Consider the following 20,899-nt stretch of genomic DNA (forward strand, 5'->3'; position numbering starts at 1 on the left):
ACACATCAAAGACCTGAGTTTCCTGGCGAGGAGGGAGGGAGGCATGGGAGCCCCTCATTACCGGCGTGCATCCTAACCACACTGCTTGTTTTCTTCTTGAGAAAATTTTTTTCTTTTCTTTTCCCTTTCCTTTCCTTTCCTTTCCTTTCCTTTCCTTTCCTTTCCTTTCCTTTCCTTTCCTTTCCTTTCCTTTCCTTTCCTTTCCTTTCCTTTCCTTTCCTTTCCTTTCCTTTCCTTTCCTTTCCTTTCCTTTCCTTTCCTTTCCTTTCCTTTCCTTTCCTTTCCTTTCCTTTCCATGTCCTTTCCTTTCCTTTCCATGTCCTTTCCTTTCCTTTTCCTTTCCCCTTTCCTTTCCTGACAGAGTCTCGTTCTGTCACCCAGGCTGGAGTGCAGTGGCGTGATCTCGGCTCACTGCAACCTCCGCCTCCCAGGTTCACGCCATTCTCCTACCTCAGCCTCCCGAGTAGCTGGGACTACAGGCGCCCGCCACCATGCCCGGCTAATTTTTTTGTATTTTTAGTAGAGATGGGGTTTCACCGTGTTAGCCAGGATGGTCTCGATCTCCTGACCTCGTGATCCGCCCACTTTGGCCTCCCACAGCTGGGATTACAGGCGTGAGCCACCGCGCCCGGCCCCCCAAAAATTTTTCTTTAGAAATGATATAAAGTATGAAGAACTCTTGGAAGATCTTCGTCGGAAAGATGAAGGAAGTCTTGTTTGTCTCGTAACCCTGGAGGCCACTGAGTATCTCTCCCTCCCATCTGCCTGTGCCCGTGTATCCTGCGTCTGTTGTGAAATGTTTACCATGCCTTGACTGGGACTTGTGGGCTGAGCAGGGAGGACAAACGTTTTATTTTTAGTGACTGTCCCTCAAAGAGCTATACTTTCGATGCCTTTCAATATGAAATAGTAAAAATCTTGCCATTTGATATTACCTAAAATATTACTCTTCTCCAAAGTTGGTTTGCCAAAATAAATTATGTTTATTATCTACTCTTTCTCCTTGATATTATCTAAAATATTATTCTTCTCCAAAGTTGGTTTGCCAAAATAAATTACGTTTATTATCTACTCTTTCTTCTTGCTATGAGTTTAAGAAGACTCTTGTTCCCTCTCCCTCGATCAAGCCTGCTGCAGACACAGAAGATGGAGACTAGAAGAAGTGCTAGGACAAGCTACCGCTGTCTTCAGGGTGACCCTGAAGAGTTAGGTCCTTGCCGTGAGTATAGGTGAGGCCGAAACAAGTGACCCGGAATCTAATCACAGCCTGGGCAGAGTGTAGGAAGGGCGCAAGGATGAAAATGACTGCTTGGTTGGACGCAGCAAAATGTTGATTATTGGCCATATATGCGTCACTTTGCTAGTTGCTGTGGATATAACAATAAGTGATACCTCCTACTGGCAAAGAATTCTAAGTCTGATAGGGAAAATAAACATCATTCATTCATTCATTCAGCAAATGTTTATTGGGATTCCACTGTGCTTCAGCCTCTGTGAGCAGCGCCCAACATTGCCCCTGCTGTAGTGGTGCAGAGCCTCGTGGGGAGATGGGTGGCCGAGCAGTCCGAGAACCCACCTAAGGAGTGGATGGTAAACTGAGGCAGCGCCTTGAAAGGAAGAATGCTGTCTGTGAAGGGTGATGGCGAGTTCTCTTGACCAGAAGCCATGCGAATTACTGCCCGTGTCCTCTGATCGAGCCTTCTAGGCCACTACCGTATCCTCAGAGAAGGCTTTATAGTCCAGCCAACAGCACTCCAGGAATTGTCTACTCAAGGAATGCAGTAGGTGGCACTTGTTGAGTGCATTCTGTGTGGTTAGGACACTGATTCATCAGGGCCTGGATTTTCCCAATAACCCCGGGAGGAAGGCGTTCCCGTCTCCACGTCCCTTTCCCAGCGTGCCAGTGCTGATGGTAGGTTCTGCTGGATCCCTGCCCCGGTGCATGTTGATCTTTCCAGTACAGCTTGTTGCCCCCCAGGGAGGCAGGGAAGTAAGTCCATACCACATTGGAAGAGTTAGACGGGTCTTGGAGAGGCTGGAGGGGGACAGCCGGGGGAAGCTCCATAGAGGTGGTGACGTCTGAGCTGGGAGCGAAGGGAGACCAGGGCTGGGCAAGGTGGGCAAAGTGTGAGCAGACATTCCAGTGGAAGCCAGAGGAGCAGGCTGGACTCTGCATTTGTTCCTACTGGAATAAGGAACAGGTGTTTGAGTGGATACAGAATAAGGACTTGATCGCCTTCCTTGCTGACAAGTGCATCGTGAGGTGCTCTTTTTTCTACTCATCCCACTTTCGAAGTTTCTTTTTCTTGACTATTTTGACTTAAGATGCCCAGAGTTAATAAAGTTGCATAATTTATCTTCCCATTTAAAAGATGTCAGTGGAAGTCATAGCAAATAGTAAGCCCTTCGCACCCATGACCTTTGTTTAGCTGAGTCTCTTGGGACAAAGATAACAAGTTGTTGACACACGGGAGAGAATGTTAGTATTCTTTGTGGTTTCATGGGACAAATATGGAGGCTCCTTCATTTGCTTGATACTAACTGCAGTTTGGACTTAAGCCTGCAGAGGTGATTGGAAAGATTTTCAGTGAAATGAGTGGTGTAATTGTGATTGTGATAATGCAGGTGACTGCTTTTCATTCATTCGGTTCCCACCGGCAGCCTGGCATTTAGAAAAAAGTTAACCTTTCTGTGAAATCATTTTAGTGGGAAAATCCACAAGGGTCTGCCATTCTGTCAGCAACAAAAATGCCGTGGGCAGAACGACCTTCAGATGGGATTCTGGAACCACAGGGGGTTTAATGCAAACAGATGACATGGAAGCTGCACAGAGGAAACGTCTGGTTTCAGGCGCGGGCATCTAACCTGCCCTGTTCTTCAGTGCAGGTTTCAGATACCACAGCAGTAAACAGTTACCACATTTCCCTTAGTGTAGCAGGCCTGAGGGGTAGCGGAGAGGCAGGTTGGGCCTCCACTAGACAAAGTTTATCCTAGTGAGTTCTTTTGGGTTCAACTTGTCAAGGAGGGTGGCTACTGAGAGGTTGCCTGATAATCTCCAAGTTTCTTCCATCTCCATCCATTTTTACTCATTACTAGCCTTTATAAAGTACAGAGTGAGATAATTTTCATCATGTTCCTAGGCTGGCAGGCCTGGGTTCTAAGTATTACTTGAGGTCATAGAGCAGGCTTGTGTTCTTTGTAGAAAGGCCTTTGATAGGTGGCCGCAGGAGGTCTTCGCGCCCTGTCCCCTCAGCATGCACTTGTTCTCCCAGAGTCGGCCATGGCCATTCTTCCAGGCTTCTGGAGAAAGGACCTCCTCACAAGCAGACAGCAAAATAAAACAATGACCAGTGTCAGAGAAGATGACACCCCCGTCTCCCATGTTTGCACGCCTCAGCAGTTCTCAGCCGTATGCCTATGCTTTTACAAGTGAAAACCAGCTCTTTAGGTCACTTGCGTCACAGGGATCTCCTCTTTTCTGTCCAGCTACCTGGCAGTCATTATTCCTCATTGTTTATTGTTAGAAACCTTTTGTTCAGCAGAGCGGCTGCCCCAGGGATCACAGGCAGAGCGGGTCCTGCTGGAGTTTAGTCTCAGGACAGCGGCTTGTCCGCATTCGGGTTTGAGCATGAGAATGTTGTTCCCATGATTTCAGAGAAGAACAACTGTTTTAAAGGTCAGATTTTATTCTGTCCAGTATTCTGTAAAGGACGAGTTGAATATCAATGAAAGAAAGAGCTTTAGTAGCTGTGGCAGTGCTGTGGGTCTGCTGCCTCCCGGGTGCTTCTCACACCACAGAGGCTGGAGAGCCAGGTGCCCCTGCAGCCAGGGCTTTGCTCGGGGACACGCTTGCCGGAGGCCAGGCTACCCTAAGTGTGCACCGAGGGAGGTGGTGGGACCTGCCCGTTCTGCTGGCTCAGCAGGAGCAGCCAGGGGCTGGGGGCTTCTGGGGCTTTCTAGGGCGTGGGAATGTGGGTAGGGGGCATTTCCCAGCTGCTGCACAGGCCACTGGTCCTGGCCTGCCTTCCCTGAAAGCTGAGTCCAAATTCTTCTTCTCTTGCCCTTGCACGGAATCTGTAAGTCACAGAACACCCGGAGTGCTGCCCTTGCTGCATTAATAGCACCAGTGGTTTCTGGGGAACTTCCCTGACCTCATCCCTGTTGCATACAGTAGTTCATTCTTTCTTTTTTTTGAGACGGAGTTTCACTCTTGTCGCCCAGGCTGGAGTGCAGTGGCGCGATCTCAGCTCACCGCAACCTCCGCCTCCCAGGTTCAAGCGATTCTCCTGCCTCAGCCTCCCGGGTAGCTGGGATTACAGGCGTGCGCCACCATGCCCGGCTAATTTTGTATTTTTAATAGAGATGGGGTTTTTCCATGTTGGTCAGGCTGTTCTTGAACTCCTGACCTCAGGTGATCCGCCCGCCTTGGCCTCCTGAAGTGCTGGATTACAGGCGTGCGCCACCGCGCCCGGCCCAGTAGTTCACTCTTAAAACGCCTTGTTATGTTTCTCCCCTGCGCTCTGGTGACCCCCAGACCTCTCCATGGAGGGACAATCTTCTGCACCAGGAGCTCTTCCCCTCTGTGGATCATCTCTCTTTCCTCTTCCCTTCCTTTTTTTCCTGATACTTCTGATACTTATTCAAATAATTCATTTTTTTTGTTCTTCAGTCGTCACTTTCATGTTTGATTTCTGAATGCCTCTTTAGGCCTGGCCTCTGTCTTTGCTCAAATTGTGTATTTGAGACAGTCTACAACATCACTCAGGTATCTTTAGATTTGTCTTGTCTGAGTGGAATTCATCCTAAAATTGGAAGCTTTAGATGTACAAGAGATCTGAATAATAGTTTAAAACCATTACCCTCATCTGAAAGATAAGGTGGTGGGGCTGGGACAGAGAAAGTGACTTGCTCAGTGAAATCGACTGCAGACCGGACTCCGGGTTTCTTGGTTTCTTGTTCACTGTAAGGTTTGACCTTAAGCCAGTTTCTTGTCACAACTGTCTCATTTCCGACCATAATACAGAGAACATCACCTTTAAATTGTCCCTCTTTTATCACCATCCACTTAGTCACCAGGTCCTACCCGTCCCTTGTCCGTGTCGGGAATTTGCGCCTTCCCTCTCCTTTCCCACTCCTTGTTCTAATTCTCAGTCTTTATACTTAAGCCTCACTGTCATGCCACTGTTGCCATTAGATTTTCTGCTTCTGACCTTTTTAAGCCTTTTAACCATCCGGAGCGTTGCTGTCAGCACTCGATTTTGACATGACGCCTGCCCGCTGCTTCGTCTTTTTCTATTTGTACCCTATTTTTTTGATGGCACTCGCTACCTCTCACACACTGTGCAGTTTTCGTATTTATTGTGTTTAGGGTCTCTTCCCCACTTGACTGTGAGCTGTAGGAGGCCAGAAATTGTAATCCATTTGGTAACAGATGTACCTACAGCTCCCGGCCAGGTGGTCATCCGCAGTCCACACACGCATTCAGCTCTGGTATACGATAGATGTGTAGTGTAGCAGCACCTGGCGTTTGCCTGTAGACGACACACAGTAGTTGTTGAATTTGTGGGACCCTTGATAATCAGCCCCCCAACTCCCCCCCACATTCATTTCTGATTACTCTGAAGCATAAACCCTCCCCGGTAGCCACAAGGGTCTCCTCGGTCAGGGGAATGGATTCTCCCTGGTCCTAGGGGAGCACACGCTCGTCCTTGTTACCCTCTCTGTGGTGGAGCTGGGTTGCACACTGGAACTTATCCTCGCCGGGGTCAGTGATCCTGGAGGTCGGTTGCCTCCATATTGAGCCCCTAAAGCACCTGGCCCTGGGAAGAGCGTGGGCCCTGGAGCGTGGCCCAGTATTTCCTCTTCTGTTTTGCTGTATCCTGAATTTCTCTTCTTTTTCTTTCATTTCTCAGAGTCCAAGTCACATCCTGCTTCCTCTGGGCTCACCATCTCTGCCGTGTTGCTCCACGGGCCCCTCCTGGCCTTTAGTGCCCTCTGCAGCCTGTGCTCTTCGTCCTTGTGCTGCCCGGCAGCCGATGGCCTTTCCTCCAGGCTCGGCACAGTAGGAAGCGCCAATGTTCCTGATAATCAAATTTATGGGCGTGCGTGTGAGAGAGAGAGAGTGTGTTCCTGCTGAAGCATCTCGGTTAAATCAAAACACTCTGTAATTATTGGGTTCTTCTTTCCTCTTGCCAGAACACTCTCTAATTATTGGTTTCTTTCCTCCTGCTCTTGACATTTGATGTGTCTATTTGCCCTCTCTGTCAATAGTGCTGAGTAGAATACTGCAGGCACAAGTCATGTTTTTGTAACGATTTTCGACAGATTAGCATTCCTTTAAAAAAGAACTTAAGTCGGTTGGGGAAGGGGGTCCACTCATATTACAAGGGGGATACTTTCAAAAATCCTTCAAATAATGGTAAGAGAAGCAGCTTTGCATAGTTGTGAGGGAACCTGGGGCTTACTGGAGAAGTGAGCACACTTCTCCAGGCATGCCATCTGCAGCCTTCCTTTTCTTTCTAGGCTGACCTATGGTCTTCTGGTCACTAGTCATTCCATTTGGCAGTAGAATCACCTTCTCAGTTTTGAAATAGGTGTAACCAGTAGGGGAAAAGGATTGTGGTGTGCGTGGTGTTCTTTGCGCACAAAGATGACCGTGGAATTTTTGAAGGAGGCAATTATTGTCATTGTTTAATATATAACTGGAGGCTTAATTTCCAAGTAGCTGTTGTAGCATTAAATGTCCCTGGCTAGGTGCCAGTAGCTATTTCCATTGTACATTGAATCTATTGCTTCTTTTTAAAATACAATGGTTCGTAGGTTGATTTATCTTTATTTTAAAGAAAGGGCTAATATCACAAGGTAAGTTTTTGAGCAGATACTATATTACGAAGTGTTCTGACTCGGATACTGGAGAGGAACAGTGGCCCTGGATACCTCCTCTGTGAAGGTCAGGTTAAGATCTCTTTATGCTCACAGTATAAAGATTAGGTTTGGCTGAGAGTTACAGGGGAGAGGAAATAACAATTGTGTAACTCAAATTAAAGTTTGTTCACTCACATTAAGATTCCCTAGAAGTAGTCATTCCAAGGCTGTTTAGTGCTCCAGCATAGCAAGGCCTCGGGCTCCTCCTATGTTTACTTTGCTGTGCAAAGGTTCTTTTTTTTTTTTTTTTTTTAAATGGTTACCTCATTGTCCAAGATGGCTGCTCAAGCTCCAGCCATTGCATATATGAGGGGACTTCAAAAAGTTCATGCAAAAAAAGAATTAAAAGATAAAAATAAAAAACAAACTTCTCAGCCAGGCGCGGTGGCTCACGCCTGTAGTAATGCCAGCACTTTGGGAGGCCGAGGCGGGCAGATCACGAAGTCAGGAGATCGAGACCATCCTGGCTAACACAGTGAAACCCTGTCTCTACTAAAAACAGAAAAAATTAGCCGGGTGTGGTGACAGGCACCTGTAGTCCCAGCTACTTTGGAGGCTGAGGCAGGAGAATGGCGTGAACTTGGGAGGTGAAGCTTTCAGTGAGCCGAGATCGCGTCACTGCACTCCAGCCTGGGCGACAGAGCGAGACTCTGTCTCAAAAAACAAACAAACAGACTTCTCAACATAAGGTCTAACAAGATCAAGACACTTTTGTAAATGACGATACCACCCATTTAATCTGTCCCTAAAGAACGGAGGGTTCTAGGAGTTTAACTGTGTCTATACAGTCTTTTTACATTATTTTATTTTTTGAGACAGAATCTCATTCTGTCACCCAGGCTGGAGTGCAGTGGTGCAATCTTGGCTCACTGCAACCTCCACCTCCCGGGTTCAAGCGAGTCTCATGCCTCAGCCTCCCACGTAGCTGGGATTATAGGCGTGTGCCACCACGCTTGGCCAATTTTTATATTTTTAGTAGAGATGCGGTTTCACCATGTTGGCCAGATTGGTGTCAAATTCCTGACCTCAGGTGATTGGCCTCCCCAAAGTGCTGGGATTATAGGTGTGAGCCGCCACGCCCAGCCCTCTTTTTACATTATTAACAGAAGGAAAAATACGTTTCCTGTAAAGATTTTTTAAAGATTAGGAAACAAACAAGTCAGAAGGAGCCAAATCAGGACTGTAAGGCAGATTTTTAATGATTGTTTCCCATGAAAACTGTCACAAAGTTCCCCTTGTTGGATGCTTGTTTTGGATGCGAGCAATGAGCAGGAGCACTGTTATCACTGTGGAGGTGGAGGGGGCTCCCTGGTGACACTTTCCTGGGCATTTTTCTGCTCAAGCTTAGGCTTTCTCAAACACTCGTAACAAGCAGCTGTCATCGTTGTTTGGCCTCCAGAAAGCCAACAAGCAAAATGCCTTGAGCATCTCAAAGAGCGGTTGCCGTGACCTTCGCTGTCATCCAGATTGCTCTTGCTTTGATGGAGCCACTTCTTGGTAGCCGGCGCTTTGATTGTGGTTTGTCTTCAGGATCTGCTGGGAAAGTCGTGTTTCATTTCCTGTTTCAATTCTTCAAAGAAATCCTTCAGGGTCTTGACCCCATTTGTTTGAGATTTCTGTCTAAAGCTCTGCTCTGGTCTGCAGCTCATCTGAGTGCAGCATTGGCAGCCATCAAATGGAAAGTTTGCTCAACTGTAATTATTCAGTCAGAATTGTGTAAGCGCGATGGAGAGGTCTGTGATACTGGCTGTTGTTTGTGTTGTTAATTGTCAGTCCTCTTCACTTAGGGCATGAACTAGATGAAGTCTTGCCTTGCAAATTGGTGTGGTTGGTCTGCCACTGAGAGTGTCATCATCTTGGCCCTCCTTAAAATTAATTGTCCACTTGAAAACTACTGATTTCTTTGGTGCATTGCCCCCATCAACTTTTTGTAAAGCACCAATGATTTCACCATTCTCCCACCCAAGGTTCATTATAAACTTGATGTTTGTTCTTGCTTCAATTTTAGCGGAATTTGTGTTGCTCTGATAAGGGCTCCTTTCAAACTAATATCTTATCCTTCTTACTGTCTCAAACTAGATCCTGTTTACACATGTTATGGAACAAGTTAGTATAAGTTTATTTTGGGGCAAAATGTTTTTTGAAGTACGTGCATAGTTTTTTTTCTTGAACATGAAAACCCTTTGTACATTTCACCTTTCCGGAAAGAAGAAGTAGGGAAGAAGACCCCACTGTTTTCCTTTAAGGATGTTTCTTAAAAGTTACACTCAGCACTTTCACAGGGAGGCTGGAAAATATCTAGGTGACCCTGTGTGCAAATGAAGAACTGGGGATTCTAGTTATGGAAGGGTGGGGTGGATACTGGGGAAAACGAACAGCCTCTGGCATAGGCGCCATCCTGGCTGATGCTGAGTTTCTTCTTTTCTACCTGAGCTTAGCTAAAATCTCGCCACCACGCCCAGAAGAGAATGCATTTGCTTTGGAGTTTTCTGTAATCCTTCTGAATTGGTTCTAAATTGGTGGCCGGCGCCTGTAGTCCCAGCTACCTGGGAGGCTGAGGCAGGAGAATGGCATGAACCTGGGAGGCGAAGCTTTCAGTGAGCCGAGATAGCGCCACTGCACTCCAGCCTGGGCAACAGAGCAAGACTCTGTCTCAAAAAAAAAAAAAAAAAAAAAAAAAAAAAAAAAAAAAACAACTTCTCAACATAAGGTCTAACAAGATCAAGACACTTTTGTAAATGACAATACCACCCATCTTGGGATATGATCAAATATACACTAAGAATATGGAAATGAATCGTCCTGACGTGGAGGTAGAATACTCAGGTGACCAGTTGCTTCCAACTAGGACTCAGTCACCCCTGGCTTCAGAAGGGCAGGAGACACGCTGTGAGAAGCTGTGAGAGTGTTGGAGATTTAGGATGATTCTCAGTTCGCAGATTCTTTGTTCAGCTATGTCCAGTCTGTTTTGAAGCCTTTCCATTTTCATTTTAAGTTGTTTTTTTTCTTACAAATTCTGTATAGTTATTTATTTCTGATTTGGATGTCTGAAGTCTTTTTGTATCTGATTCAGCTACAGTTTTTGTTGGCTGTTCGTCATGGTGCCTGTTTCCTAATGTCCTTTTAAATTTTGACAGTTATTTTCCTTTGAAATTGAAGTATGTGAAATCTTTGAAGCTTGGGATGAAGTTGGCTTCTTTTAGGACTATGAAGTTTGCTTCTATCAAGTGCTTACAGGTCCTGACAGTCTGAGGTTTTCTATCACACCCGGGTCAAGGCCAGCCATCCCTCCTCTCTGTTTATTACTAGGCTGAGGGGCAGAAACTTTTCCTTGCAGTGCCCCGGTGGGGTGGGTTTACTTTCGGGTAAACCTTGCTCTGCGTCTGCAGCCCTCTGCACACCCACTCTTCTGGAGGGATGCCCTCCCTCAGACACCATGCCAGCACGGGCCTTGGGCGTTGCCTCCTGCCCCTCAGGCCGCCCATGACTGCAACGCCCCACTCCAGTTCATGGGCTCAGGCCCGCGGAACCCGGCTGCTCTGCTCACCGGGCTCGGGCCCGCAGAACCCGGCTGCTCTGCTCACCGGGCTGGCCCCAGCTTCACTGCTCTCACACCAGCACATCCGTGAATTTCAGAACGTGCCCCTGCCTGCTTGTCTGCCCCCCACCTCCAAGCATTTTCACTTGTTAGTGAGAGGAACCTGGAGCCTGAATCCACCACATTGCTGGACATTTTGTGCTTGTGGTCTTTTTATTACCGCAGATGTGATTTCCTTGCTTGTTTCTTCAAGAGCCTACTCTTAAGAGGTATGATGAAATACTTTTGAGAGTGTGAATTTCACTAAATCACAAAATCTGAAAGGTGTACAAGCAGACAATTCTGAAAGAAATAGAAAATGTAGCTGAGTGTCTAGTATCAAGTGTAGCCATTTCTGGTGATAAATTATTATACGCATTAGGTGGATAGTTTTGTTTACTAAGAATTGAAGGTAATTCTGGAAATTGATAGGTCAGCAAGCCTTTGCTTAGTGTGAGGCTAAGGAGTTTGTCGTGTTTATGCAAAATGGTAATGTCCTACTGCTGCTTTATCGATATGGAAAGTTCCAGTAGGTTAGAAGTGGTTAAGTAAAGATGAATGGCGAATGGGATTTGATTAAATGTAAAAGTTTCTGAGGGAAGTGAATCACTGTGTAGATGGAGTCACCCCCGGCTATTGATTTAAATGACAGTTCAGAAATAGTATCAAAAGAAACAAAATGGCCAGCGTGTCAAGAAACCAGCAGCTCTTCTGTTCCGGGGTAGCCAGCACCAGGCATCAGGGCCCCCGGGACCTCTGGACATCAGCGCTGTGGGTCGTCTTGGAATTGACACTTGAGGGCAGATGAGGCAGCACCAGCTCCTGGGTGCCTCTGCACCCAGTGCCCTGTCTCCGCAGTGAGTGAGGCTGGACCGGGTGTGCCAGCATCTGGAGGGGTCTGCAGGGTCGGAATACTGCATACAGTTGGATTTTGAGGTGGAGCATTAGCTAATTAACTGCAACCAAAAGTAAAGTAGCAGGGTGGCTGCTTCTCCAGGCCTGGAAGCCTGCGTGGTGGCTGAACTGCGGTCCCCACTGCAGCAGAACCGGGCAGGCCTCAGTGGCCTCAGGCTCTGTCCCTGTGTATTTCATGGAGAACAGAGTCAGGGAGGTGCAGGGCTCATCGCTAGCCAGGGCACAGCGGGACCAGGCATCCTGATTTGCAGCCTGGTGGCCTTTACCTAGTGCCGCCTCATCTGACATAAAGTCACCCGTGTGGGGGAGAGCTGTATTTTAATAATCAGTTTCAGGTAGATCCCGGAAACCCAAACATATAGAAAGGTGAGGGACTTCGGTTCCCACCTCCTGAGCAGGTACTGCCTCGTGCCAGTGGACCTGGGAGGGCGGGAAGGCTGCTCTCAGGGGCACGCTGTTGCATTATGCCATGTTGTTCTTTTGGTTGTTTATTGTGATGAGCTCTTATTGTGATAAGAAAAATAATCATTTTCTCATCTTTAGCAGTGAATATACCTCTTTTTTAACTGCCATGTTAACGTTTGCCTTTGACAGTGTGCTCTGAGAGACACAATCTATGCTTCAATTCTATGCTCTTCAGCTGTCATAACTCTTCTCCATGTCTTTGAAGTGCAGTAAAGAAAGTGTAACCCAAAAACTGAACAGTAATTCCTAAACTTGGCACTTGCTCTCCACTCTGGAGACATTCTAGGTTTCATTTGAGAGGGATTTTGGCCTGCTTAAAGCATTTTAACAGCTTTTCGTTGGCCCCAGTACAAAGTCTAAACTCTTTACCTGGGAGGAAAAATTGCTTTTGATCTGGTCCCTGCTCTCTACCACAGCCTCACCTCCCACCTTCCCTCCCACCAGACTCCAGCCTCACCTCCCACCAGACTCCAGCCTCACCTCCCACCTTCCCTCTCACCAGACTGCAGCCTGACTGCTGACATTTCAGTGTGTTCCACCTTTTCAGGCGTTTGCTGGGCAGTTTTCTCTTCCTCAACTTGTTAAATTCTATTCATGCATCGAGTCTTGCTGTTGATGTCATTTTCTTTGGAAACTGTTCCTAAATCCTTAATCCTTTCTACCTTACAAAAGAATAACAAAATAAACCCCAAGAAAGATCTACTCCTTTATTCTTTCACAGGATATGATTCCTACTCCATCATTGTCTTCAACTGTATGGTGTGTTGTTGCGATGATCGTGGTAGCAGGATTGATATCAGTATTGCTCACTGGTCTCTAGTCTTCTAGAAAATAAGGGATGGGGACTTCCAGGTAGCTGATGAAATGGTTGTGTCTTAGGTTCCTGTCTCCAAAGTATTTCCTCCAGAATAATGTAGAAGAACAAGAAGGAGAAAAGTAAACTTTGTAAAAGCCATGTCCTCAGTGTGAAAGACACAATATACTCCAACTTGAAAATCGTAAAAAGAGGTAACACCCAATCCAACATGGAATTCCTGATGTTCTCCATCTCCCCACTACCACAAGGCTCTGTCCACCTTGGGTTGTAGGTAGTTGACAGAAAATTATAGGTACAAGTTTGCAGCAGAAAAAGACAAAAAGGAAGGAGAAGGACCTTTTGACATATGGGTGGATGGCGAAAGGAAGAAGAATCAGCAGGGGAAATTTAGTGTCCTGTAGACAGGGACAACCACAGGTTGGGTGTGGTGGCTCATGCCTATAATCCCAGCAGTTTGGGAGGCTGAGGCAGGCAGATGGCTTGAGCCCAGGAGTTCGAGACCAGCCTGGGCAACATGGCAAAACCCTTTCTCTACAAAAAACAAACAAATAGTATTGTACAAATGAGTTTCTGGTCTCGTTAATTATACTATTGTTATGTAAGACCTAATGGTCGGGCATGTTGGGTTAAGGCCATGTGTACTAGCTTTGCAACATTGCTGAATATCTAAAATTATTTCAAGATAAAAATTAAGAAAGGAAAGCAGTGGTTATGCCTGTTTATACTTGAGCCAGAGCAACGCCTGACTCAGAATAGACAGTCACCCATTCACGTTTTCTAACTTCAGATTGTGCAGTTGTTTGTTGGTTCTTGGGTTTTTAAATAATGCATGAAGAAGGTGGAAGGAGCGGCGCCCTGGGATTGCAGTATCGTGGTGTTGAGTCACTTGCGATCTTTCCGGTTCAGTGACTCCTCAGTGTGCGTGGATTGGGGCCCTCCAGAGATGCTCTCTGTCTGTGTGTGTCATCGCAGCCCTCTGCTGTCCATGCCCGACAAGCCAGTGGCTTTCACTGCTGTGTGGGGTGGGGGCGATGTTTGTGTTTGTTTTATTCCAACAGTGGCTTCGTTTCTCTTCCAGGGCATTTCTCTCGCTCTTCACAAGAAGTGGCCTCTGCTTCTTCTGATTATTCACACTGTCCATTATTGATTACTCCTTATCCCCTTTCTTTCCTCTGCATGAAAGGCAGGTCTCTGCCGGGCGCAGCGGCTACCTGTAATCCCAGCTACTCGGGAGGCTGAGGCAGGAGAATTGCCTGAACTCGGGAGGCGGAAGTTGCAGAGAATGGCCTGAACCCCAGAGGTGGAGGTTGCAGTGAGCCGAGATTGTGCCACTGCACTCCAGCCTGGGTGACAGAGTGAGACTCCCATCTCCAAAAACAAAAAAAGAAAGGCAGGTCTTTTGTGAATTGACGGCTAGGCTCACTTCCTGGAGGGCAGTCGGCTGGCTCAGGCACAGGGCGGGAGGAAAGAGGCTTCCGCACAGCCACGTTCTCCTCATTCCTCACCTCGTAGAAAAGATTTTTGGGGGGTGGTGGTTAATCATGTTACTCTAAGTTTTCGTTTCCTTTTTACTCGGCTCAGGAATAGTAAGATGCCTTTACAGGCCCGTTTGAATGCATTTAAACTTAAGAATTTCTGTCATTTTTCCCTCCCTTTTTGTTTCTCTTAGCTTATTTTTTGAGCCTGCAAACTTTAAATTTTTATTATTCTGAGAATAGCTTATTTACTAACTTAAATCCTGTTTTGAAAAAGGCAGGTTGTGAAAAAGTAAACCATAAATAGTTTATAGCTGTAAGGAGTTGAAGTGTCTTCAGAATTAATATTTATGTATTTATTTGAAGCTCAGTTTAGCTGTTGTCATTCAAAGTTCTGCCTCAAGTATGCCCAGATCTTGTCAGTTACACAGCCTTCCTTTCTCTGCTTTCTCTTCTTCCCAATTCTTCCAGCATCTCAAGAGGCAGGGTTAACAATTCCACTCCCAGGCTGGGTGAGGTGTCCTCTCCACGGTTCCCCAGAGCCCAGAGAGGCGGAGGGAGCCCCATGGTCCCTGTCCTGGAGAGGAAGACCTCCCCCAGAGTCCAGAGAGAGGGATGGAGCCCCCATGGTCCCTGTCCTGGAGAGGAACCTCCAGTTCTCGGTCAGGGCCAAGACCCCCAAGTGGGTCACAGTTACTTGTTTTTCCTCTTGCCCTCCTCAGCCTGCTGGCTCTTCTGTGCAGGACCTCAGACTGCCAGGCTCCTGCTCTCTTCCTCCAGGCACATCTTCTCACCAGAACTCCAGCCCTGCACCTCAGACTCCCTGTTCATTGTCTCACCTCAGCCCCATCTCAAGTCTAGAACCCCCTTTCTTTCTTGTTGACTTATTCCGTTCTAACTGGAATCCTAGAAGAGAATGACAGGATGATGGTGCTGTGCCTCTGAAGGGGGTTTGTTAAAATACTCAGAATCAGCAGGGCACGGTGGCTCAAGCCTGTAATCCCAGCACTTTGGGAGGCCCAGGTAGGTGGATCATGAGGCCAGGAGTTCAAGACCAGCCTGGCCAAGATGGTGAAATCCCATCTTTACTAAAAATACAAAATTAGCTGGGCGCAGTGGCAGGTGCCTGTAATTCCAGCTACTCAGGAGAGGCAGGAGAATCGCTTGAACCCAGGTGGCAGAGGTTGCAGTGAGCCAAGATTGAGCCACTGCACTTCAGCCTGGGCAACAGAGTGAGACTCTGTCTCAAAAAACAAACAAACAGACAAAAACTCAGAACCATGCCTAGAAAATACTCAGGGCTCCCTGTTTGTTAGATAAATTGTTAGATCAGCCAATGAGTGACATATTGCATCTTGTATGCTGCATCCCAGGGGATTTAGTTAGTGACAGAGGAGAAATACAGCTCCTTTGCAAGTGGTCCTGCGTGCCGAGGCAAAGATCCGCGTATAAAATCCCACGTCGCACGTATGTGCTGGGCTCGTCTGTGAACAGGTTACATGGACCCTCTCTAGACCCAGCAGATGGGCTTTGAAATGTGGCCTTCGTGTTCAGCTGGCATTTGGTTTTCACCAGGAGACAACAGCAAACACACAGGCGGAAGAGGAGAGGGAGCCCGTGAGGCTCATTGTCAATACAGGGGAGACAGCCACTCAGGACGGGGCTTCAAGGCATGCATGGGTTTGACAGAGGTGAGGGGCCTGGCGCACTGGAGTCCAGGCTCATGGAGGGAGGGGTTGGTTTGGCATCTTCTCTTTAGCACCTGCCACGTGTTCTGCGGAGGCCAGTTAGTGTCAGTCAGCAAAACACCACCTCCAAATGCTGGCAGTGGAGTGTCTCGCTTTATTTTTTTATTCAGATCGATAACTCCTAGGAAAAGAGCATCTTTTAGAGTCACCTGAAACTAAATAAAGAGCAGAGTGCCTGAGTTGTGGAAACACTGGTGCTGTCTGGGCCTCATGGCAGAAAGTTGCGGGGCCGCGGCTCTCGTTCCGTCCTCACACTGCCCTGCTAGAGTGCGTGCGTGCTGTGTGCATTCCTCATGCCGCTGCTGTCCCTGGCAGGTGACAGTTCAGGGGCACCTCGCGCTGTGGGTGAGTTCTCGAGTGCTGCGGGGAGTGTAGGGAAGGCCGGTGGTGCGGTATCGAGGACCAATTCTGTGTGTGTGGTTCAACATTTCTAGTTCTCTTACACCTTCATGAGGTGTACGTCTCTTACACCTTCATGAGGTGTACGTCTCTTACACCTTCATGAGGTGTACGTCTCTTACACCTTCATGAGGTGTACGTCTCTTACAGCTTCATGAGGTGTACGTCTCTTACACCTTCATGAGGTGTACGTCTCTTACACCTTCATGAGGTGTACGTCTCTTACACCTTCATGAGGTGTACGTCTCTTACACCTTCATGAGGTGTACGTCTCTTACACCTTCTTGAGGTTGAATTTCATTTGATTCTTAAATATTTGGCTGAAAAATTAGATAATAAACGTAGTTACAATCTCTCCTGTCATGAACACTGAGGAAGAATGAATTTGTCTAAATATTCTCTCGGTGTATTAGAATATTGGTAAATGATGTGGAATCTTCCTGTATTTGATGTGATATAATCTTATCAGTTCTTTAAAATGATGTAGCAGGCTGACCGTTGGCCCCCCAAAAGATTAGCCACATCATATTTTCTGGAACCTGTGAATATTACCTCATGTGGTGAAAGATGTGATTAGGTCCCCCCCCCCACCCCAAACAAAGTCTCGCTCTGTCATCCAGGCTGGAGTACAGTGGTGCAATCATGGGTCGCTGCAGCCTCGACCTCTTGGGCTCAAGCCATCCTCCCACCTCAGCCTCCCAAGTATCTAGAACTACAGACCTGCGCCACCACACCCAGCTAATTGTTAAATTTTTTTGTAAAGTCAGGGGTCTCCCTATGTAACTCAGGCTGGTCTTGAACTCCTGGACTCAAGCCATTTGCCTGCCTCAGCCCCAAAGTGCTGGATTACAGGTGTGAGCCACTGCACCCAGCCAGGTTAAGGTTGTTGAGAGGGAGAGCTTATCTTGGATTATTTGAGTGAGCCCTAGATGTAATCACGGGTGTCCTTATGAGTGAGAAGCAGAGGAGCTTTGAGTCAGACAGAAGAGAAGGCCATGTGAAGACTGAGGCAGAGCTGGGAGTGATGTGGCCACAGGCCAAGGAACACCGAGGCGTGCCCACGGCCACCAGAAACTGGAAGAGGCCGGAATGGATTTGCCCCAGGGCCTCCAGAGGGAGCGTGGCCCTGCTGACTTAGTGATTTTGCATGAATACTTGAGTCTATAGAGTTTGAGAACAAGGACTTTCTCTTACATAACCACAGTACATTTATCAAAATTAGGAAATATAACATTGATTCAGTCCTGTGTTCTAATTTGTTTCCTTTTTTTTTCTTAAAAAAAAGAAAAATAGCGTCTTGCTGTGTTCCCCAGGCTGGAGTGCAGTGGTGTGATCCATCATAGCTCACTGCAGCCTTGAACTCCTGGGCTCAAGTGATTCTCCTGCCTCAGCCTCCTGAGTAGCTGGGACCACAGGCACGTACCACTACACCCAGCTAATTTATTTATTTTTTGTAGAGATGGGGTTTCAACATGTTGTCCAGGCCGGTCTTGAGCTCCTGGGAACCAAGCCATCCTCCTGCCTTGGCCTCCTAGACTGCTGGGATTACAGGCGCGAGCCAAGCGCTCAGCTGATCGAATTCATTTCTTAGCCAGTTGTTTCAGCTCCGTCTGTGGCAGCCTCCGCACTGGCCTGGGAGCGGACCCCGGACTACACACGGCTTTTTGATGGCACTTCATCCTCCTCAGCTTTGCTTTCTCAGTCTGGCCATTTTTGAAGGATGCGGGCCAGTTCAGTTCTAATCCTCAGTTTGCGTTTTCCTCCTGTCTTCTCCCGACAAGAGCAGGGCAAGCATCTGTGGCAGGAGGGCTGCAGAAGTGATACTGGGGCTTCCTCAGGTGCTGTCGGAGGTGCTGATGGCATTTTGTCCCATGATTGGCCATACTCATTTTGACCTTGATTAAGATGGCGTCCCCACATTTCTCCGCTGCGGAGTTGTTTTCCCTTTGTAAGTAATAAGGACTCTGGCTCTGTGCCTACCCTGTTCCTTGTGCTGGTTTTGCAACCATGGATAATTCTTGCCCACATCAGTTATGATCGTGATGGTTGCCAAATGCTGGTTTTCTGATTGTATGTTTTTCTTCCCTTCGCCCCCATTCATTCCTTCATTCATTCCTTTATATCATTCTAAAATAAATTCTTATTTTATCCCATCAATCATCTGCTACTGTCATTGTTTATTTTGATGCTCCAGTTGTCCCTGATTTCGCTGCCACCCTCCAAGCTCACTCCTGTCCATGTGTTTTATGTGTTCTCTTCACTGTTGAGCAATTCCTTGCTTTCAGGCACGACAAGGTGGAGCAGCCTCATATTCTACCCGCATGGCTCAAGTCCTGGCATCAGCCACGTTTCCAAGGAGCCCTGGTTCCTTTTCTACAGAATGGGACTTAGAAGCCAAGATGTCGGCTCCTGGCATTGACTCCCTCATCCTCAACATGCCGCTCAGTTGCCTGGTGCCACAATACACAGGAAGTAAATTCAGAATTGCCGTCTCGTACCATCGTAAACAAACTTTCTCACGTGAATTCACTATCTGTTCCCAGTTATTTTCTGCCTGTGGACTGAGGGGTGGAGTCAGGTGTAGATGCCATGGTCAGAGTTACTTGGGTGGGCTTTGTCCCCTCTGTTCCGGGCTGTTATTTGCACTGTACTCAAGTTCACGTGTTTAGTTTGTATTCTGTTCCGTTGCAGGGCTCTCTTATCCTTGCTTATTTCTTCTTTTATGAGTATGTAAGTTATTAATGTGGTTCTGCAAGTCAAAACTGTATAAAGCTAGAGTCATGTCATCTCCCCAATCCTGTTTCCAGGCTGCCTTGTGTTTCATTACTTTCAGGCATATCTTGTCTTTCTTTTTTTTTTAAATAAGGAGATACATGTTTATTTATTTATTTATTTATTTATTTATTTATTTATTTATTTATTTAATTTTTCTGGAGGCATAGTCTCGCTCTGCCGCCCAGGCTGGAGTTGCAGTGGTGTGATCTCGGCTCACTGCAAGCTCCTCCTCCCGGGTTCACGCCATTCTCCTGCCTCAGCCTCCCGAGTAGCTGGGACTACAGACGCCCACCACCACACCCGGCTAATTTTTTGTATTTTTTAGTAGAGATGGGGTTTCACCGTGTTAGCCAGGATGGTCTCGATCTCCTGACCTCGTGATCCACCCACCTCGGCCTCCCATAGTGCTGGGATTACAGGCGTGAGCCACTGCGCCCAGCCATGTTATTTTCTTATATCCTGCTCTTACATGGCAAGATAGTATACTAGGTATGCTCCTCTGCACTCTGCTTTTTGCCACTACACAGCGTGTCCTGGAAATCACTCCATGTCAGTTTCTAGGGACTTTCTCTTCCTTTTTTGAGAGCTGTATGGCACTTCATTACGTGAGTCAACATCTTAACATTGTAACATTTTGCAATTACAGATAATACCGCATTGTATAACCTTGTTCAGATGTATTTTGTATTAAGGCTGTATCTTCAAGGTAAATTTATAGTATCACTGGGTGGAAAAATGTGTATGTAGTTTTTTTCTAGTTATTGTCAAATTCCCTTCCTACCTCAGGATTGTATACCCTTTTCCATTCCCCTCGGCAACATAGGAGAGCGCCTCATTCGGAGTCGCCCCTCATTCAGGGTCGCACCTCATTCGGAGTCACCCCTCATTCAGGGTCGCTTGTTGCGTTTTCAGTGTATGCCAGTGTGTGCAGTCTGGGAGATGAGAAATGCTCTCGGTGTAGTTTTAATTTGAATTATTTTTATTGTAAGTGAGTTGAGGTATTGCTCTGTCTCCCAGGCTGGAGTGCAGTGGTGTGATCTTGGCTCACTACAGCCTCGACCTCCTGGGTTCAAGTGACCCTCCCACCTCAGCCTCCTGAGTAGCTGGGACTACGGCCGTGTACCACCATGCCCAGCTAATTAAAACATTTTTTTTTTTAATGTAGGAATAGAGTCTTGATATGTTAACTTGAACTCCTGGGGTCAAGTGATCCTCCATCCTTGGCCTCCCAAAGTGCTGGGATTACAGGTATGACCCACTGTGCCTGGCTAATATTTTTGTATATTCAGGGCCATTTCCATATATATATATATATATATATATATTTTTTTTTTTTTTTTTTTTTTTTTTTTTTGCTGTGAATTATCTGACATGTCTTTTGCCATTTGCCTCATGGAATGATTTATATTTCCACGACTTTTAATTCCTAGTGACAGCTGCTACTCCCCACATCGTGGGGTGCTTCCTTTGAGCTTCTTCCCAGCTGCCTCTGGCTGTTGAACTCCCTCTAGTCGTAAGCGTAAGATGGACCCCCAGAGTCGTCCTGGGAGCAGCACTCGGAAATGCCCGACAAGAACCCTATTTCTCCTCATCAGGTGGGGGCACTTTCCAGTCCTCAGAGCTCTTCTGACAGTGTTGGTGGCCTCTGCAGAGGGCAGGGTCATCCTGTGCCTGGAGGGACATAAGCATGGTTAGAGGCTTTCTAGAAGGGATTCAGGCCTCCGACCCATCTGGTGCTGTTCATTTTTGAGATTACGTGTCTCTAAGATAAAGGATTGGGAGGATGGGCCATGGTTTATAGAGC

At 47.0% G+C, this 20,899-nt stretch overlaps 1 protein-coding gene across 2 annotated transcripts in view, besides 2 other annotated features; it reads left to right on the plus strand.

The window, feature by feature from the left end:
• RPTOR (regulatory associated protein of MTOR complex 1) overlaps positions 1–20,899 on the plus strand; it is a 421,531-nt gene that overhangs the window by 120,371 nt on the left and 280,261 nt on the right. The gene's annotated exons all lie outside the window — the stretch shown is intronic.
• Positions 11,004–11,530: an enhancer, noted in NCBI's record as "H3K27ac-H3K4me1 hESC enhancer chr17:78650012-78650538 (GRCh37/hg19 assembly coordinates)". NCBI's record gives its function as "activates a minimal SCP1, AML or CMV promoter by ChIP-STARR-seq in naive H9 embryonic stem cells {active_cell/tissue: H9 hESC(naive)}" and the evidence as "EXISTENCE:reporter gene assay evidence [ECO:0000049][PMID:30033119]".
• Positions 11,531–12,055: an enhancer, noted in NCBI's record as "H3K27ac-H3K4me1 hESC enhancer chr17:78650539-78651063 (GRCh37/hg19 assembly coordinates)". NCBI's record gives its function as "activates a minimal SCP1, AML or CMV promoter by ChIP-STARR-seq in naive H9 embryonic stem cells {active_cell/tissue: H9 hESC(naive)}" and the evidence as "EXISTENCE:reporter gene assay evidence [ECO:0000049][PMID:30033119]".

Source organism: Homo sapiens, chromosome 17, assembly GCF_000001405.40.
Source record: "Homo sapiens chromosome 17, GRCh38.p14 Primary Assembly".
Classification (NCBI taxonomy): domain Eukaryota; kingdom Metazoa; phylum Chordata; class Mammalia; order Primates; family Hominidae; genus Homo; species Homo sapiens.